We start from the raw sequence: 4,172 nt of genomic DNA on the forward strand, positions 1-4,172 counted from the left end.
TTGACTCTTCCTGGAAGTTCCTGAGATGACCTCTATACAAAGAGAGGGGAGGGGGCTGCAGCTACCCTATGCTGTACCTACATCATAGATTCCCAGCTTCCTTGACTGGGAGGCACTTCAGAGGTCTTGGACTCCATCTGTCTACCATCAGCAAACCTATCTAAACTGCTGGCTCTGAAGCTTAATGTACATATGAGTCACCTCACCTTGTGAGCTTATTAAGAATACATTTCCTTTTCTAGCTCTTGGGAACTTGGTAAGGAAAGAAAAAAGAATACATTTCCAAGGCTCATCCCCAAGGACTCTGATTCCCTAGCTCTGTGGAGTCTAGGAATCTGCATTTTACCAAGGCACACAGGAGAGTCTGATGCGATTGGTTGGTTCTCAGCCACGCTGTTTTAAAAAACTTTTCACAAATATATATCCCTAGGTTTCAGTTCCAGTTCTGCCACTAACTATGATCTTAGACAATTCATTTTACCTCTCTGAATCTGTTTCTTCACCTAAAAATGAAAAACCTTTTCAGTTTAAATCATTTTTTGTTAACATTCTCAGGCAGTTACACTTCAGCATCATTTTAGGTGGGTAATTCTCAAATAGGTTTTCATGTGGGGTGTTTGTTCTCTGAGAAGAGCCTCCTGGAGATTCTGAGTGCCCTGCCATGGGGCTTGCCCACTTCCCTTTCCTAGATTTCAGAACACTTCAAATCGCCACATTCATGCCATTCCATAGCAGTTTAGATTTGTCATTTGTGCCTCAATAGCAGTCCACGAGGGTCTGAGCCCAGAACCTGGACTCATGTTTGGTTGCTGATTCTAATTTCTGTTCCCCCAGATGGAATCCCTCACCTTCCCTTGGGAACCACTTTCTGTGTGGACTTTCCTCAGTGCGGCTCATTTCTTCCTGCTGGCCTCTGAGGCGGTGGGATCAACAGGTCAATGTCTTGCTCCACATCTGTCACGGGGCTTCTGGCCTCCCCTCAGCCTCCCCTTTCTTCTTCTGTCCCCTTCTGACCTCTGTGTCCTTCGCATTACTTTTTGGGGACCTTCTTCAGTTTCTCACATGTTATTAAAGGCCAGGACCAAGGAGTTAGGGGCTAGGAGGGGTAGAGCATTATTTAAGAGGCAGGGAGTAAGGTTCTAATACCACTTTGATCAGCCCCCATCCAATCAGTTCTTGGTTTCTGGAAAAGTGCAATCCCTTCGATTCATGGGGTGCTAGGGCTACAATGTGCCAGGTCTGTCCTGCAGACCCCGGCTGACAGATGAAATGAGTACTCAGACATAGGTATGCAATGTAAGAGCAGCCAGAGGACTGCCTGGTGCAAGTGGCCAGAGCGCAGCCCTGGGAAGCTGGAGCTGCTTGCTTTTATTCAGGGCAGGTGCAATGCTGAAAACCTGGAGCCAACACAACCTGAAGGTAATTAACATTTATTGTTCCCCTTTCAGGGAACTTCACATGCAGGGATGATCAAAGGTCAGTTCCTGGTCAACATAACAAGATTGTTTAAGATCAATTCCCCCCACACTCCCTTGTATCTACTCCTTGCCCTCTGTCTCAGGGTTATAGAACAGCTGCTTCCAGCTATTCTCCCCAGGGGCTCTGCAGACCCTTCCAACCTTTCAGAAGGTTTGTGTCCTTTCCCTATAGTTTTTCCCACCACTCTGAGTGATCCCCTACATCTCTCCCTTTTCTGTTTTTTGCATCAGGTTTAGTTGATTGAAGCGTACAGATGTGTGCAGCGACAGGTTTGACAGGTGCAGCGGTTACAGCTTGTGTTCCAGCTTTGCATCCTTACAAGAGTTGCAATGTACAACAGACAGCATAGCAAGGAACAGATTATCTGGAGTGAATGGTGTCTGTGATTCACTTAGCCTCCTGAGTTGTCTTATTTAGCATCCCCCAGTTGTCTATTTCACATTCCCCATCCGGGACCTGTGTTGTCCGAGGAAGCTGCATTGTCCGGGGCTGCGGGTCCTACAGGCTCACATTCTTCATTTCCAGTACTGCATTGGGTCCCAGCCATGCCATGGTATGGTTTGATGCATTGCACTGGAATCCCAAGAGGACCTGAGGGGATGTGAACACAAGCATATCCTCTTCCCCATGTTAGCAAATCATGTGGACTGCACCATAGATTACTATTTACATCTTTCCATAACACTGAAGGCTTTGTATCTTGGGAGGTTTTAGCAAAGTGCTTTTCTATGGCTGATTGAAATTTATTATCTAAATTTAAGAAATTAAGGGTGAATAAGACTTGTGCTAGTAGTGTTGTAGGGTCCTTATTCATATTCCCCCTTTTTTTAAAGCATATTTTTAAGCGTGGAATGGGCACGTTCCACTATGGCTTGTCCTTGAGGGTTATACGAGATACCCGTGGAATGGTCGATGTTCCATGTGTGCTCTTAATTGCCTGGGTTAACTGATGGATAAATTCAATAAATGGCTCCTGTGGCCCTTGTTGAACATTTACAAAAGATCCCTGTTGAACTCTGCCTTCGGGAATTTGGTCCTAAGCCCTGAAGATGCATAAGGACACTTGTGCATAGGCTTGGGGGACAAAATTTAATTGTTGTTGTACATTAACATAGGGACCCCTCCCCTGGAGCATAGCAGCCGATGTTTTGTCCAGGCAATTGATTCTGGTTAGCCTGTTGTTCACACAATTCATCATATTCTGCCCTCCAGAGGGGGTATTGACTCGCCTCCTAAAGTTGTTTTAGCTAGCACTGACCAGTCCCATGGAGTCATATGGTAGTTATCTGCTATTGCCTCAATTAATCCTCTTGTGAATGGGCTAGTGGCCCCATTTTCTCTAATGCTTTTTCTTATTTCCTTAGAAGTGTTCAATGTAATGGGCTCATGCACCCAATTGCCTTGTTGATCTTGCATCACTGGGCAGGCCAAGAGTTCCCCTTCCAATGCTGCTTGCCTAAGGCAGGGTCCCATAACTGTAGTATATCGCTTGTCTTCTTCCCAGTTCATTGGGGGGAGGGGGAGGAAAACCTCCGTCTCCTCTTTGGTATCTTTAGCCAGTGACGGCAAGGCTGAGGGAGGCTGAGGCATTAAAGTGGGTAGTGGTTCCTCTTCCCTTATCTTTTTGGGCTCTTCTATGAAGAGCAGGGCCAAAGCAACCCTATTAGGACCATAACATTAAGATGTTACTGGGACCTACTGCCCTTGCGCACGTCGTTTAAGATTTCTTCCCACTTGTTCCCAGAGCTCTAGGTCTAGTGTACCTTCTTCTGGAAACCATGGGTTATGGAAAACAACAGTTTGCATCAGGTCCTTTAATTGGATCTCTGAGACTGAGGCTCTGCTAGCTTTAGGCAATTGTTTCAATACACTGTTGCTGTTGAGGGGATAACTGTTGTCCCATGATGAAACCCTAGCTGGAAAATCCCCTCAAACTTGGAAATCCCCAGCGGGCACCGATTACTTACTGCGCAGTCACTTCACGTTCATTTTCGAGGGTTCCATCATGATCCACTGCGCTGCTCCTCACACGGGGCACCACCTGCCTAGTCTGTCCCACAGACCCTGACTGGTGGATGAACTGAGTACTCAGACACAGGTATACAGTGTAAGAGCAGCTCAAGTGGCCGGAGTTCAGCCCCGAGAACTGGAGCTGCTTGCTTTTATTCAGTGCAGGCACAATGCCAAAAACCTGGAGCCAACACAACCTGTAGGTAATTAACATTTATTGTTCCCCTTTCAGGGAACTTCATGTGCGCAGATGATCAAAAGTCAGTTCCTGGTCAACATAACAAGCTTGTTTAAGATAAAATCCCCCACACTCCCTTGTACCTGCTCCTTGCCCTCTGCCTCAGGGTTATAGAACAGCTGCCCTCAGTCATTCTCCCCCAGGGCTCTGCAGAACCTTCTGACCTTTCAGAAGTTTTGCATCCTTTCCCTGTAGTTTTTCCCACCACTCTGAGCGATCCCCTATGACAGTGCAGATGTCAGCCAGGCACAGTGGCTCACGCCTGTAATCCCAGCACTTTGGGGGGCCGAGGTGGGTGGATAGCAAGGTCAGGAGTTCAAGACCAGCCTGGCCAAAATGGTGAAGCCCCACTTCTACTAAAAATACAAAAAAAATTAGCCGGGCACAGTGGCAGGCACTTGTAATCCCAGCTACTCGGGAGGCGGAGGCAGGAGAATCGCTTGAA

General features: G+C 47.0%; 1 long non-coding RNA gene across 2 annotated transcripts, besides 1 other annotated feature; it reads right to left on the reverse strand.

The window, feature by feature from the left end:
- Positions 1-1,414: 1,414 nt before the first annotated feature.
- Positions 1,415-3,617, reverse strand: LOC124904487 (uncharacterized). 2 transcript variants are annotated; one of them, XR_007066804.1, is made up of 2 exons: positions 3,447-3,617; positions 1,415-2,070 (listed from the first exon to the last, which is right to left on the reverse strand). It is a non-coding gene; the product is annotated as an uncharacterized LOC124904487 (long non-coding RNA). The 2 variants fall into 2 exon arrangements; XR_007066805.1 differs by having other exon boundaries at positions 1,415-2,097.
- Positions 3,280-3,549: an enhancer, noted in NCBI's record as "active region_2350". NCBI's record gives its function as "activates an Ori minimal core promoter by ATAC-STARR-seq in GM12878 lymphoblastoid cells {active_cell/tissue: GM12878}" and the evidence as "EXISTENCE:reporter gene assay evidence [ECO:0000049][PMID:35858748]".

This window comes from Homo sapiens, chromosome 1 (genome assembly GCF_000001405.40).
Source record: "Homo sapiens chromosome 1, GRCh38.p14 Primary Assembly".
NCBI classification, from domain to species: Eukaryota; Metazoa; Chordata; class Mammalia; order Primates; family Hominidae; genus Homo; species Homo sapiens.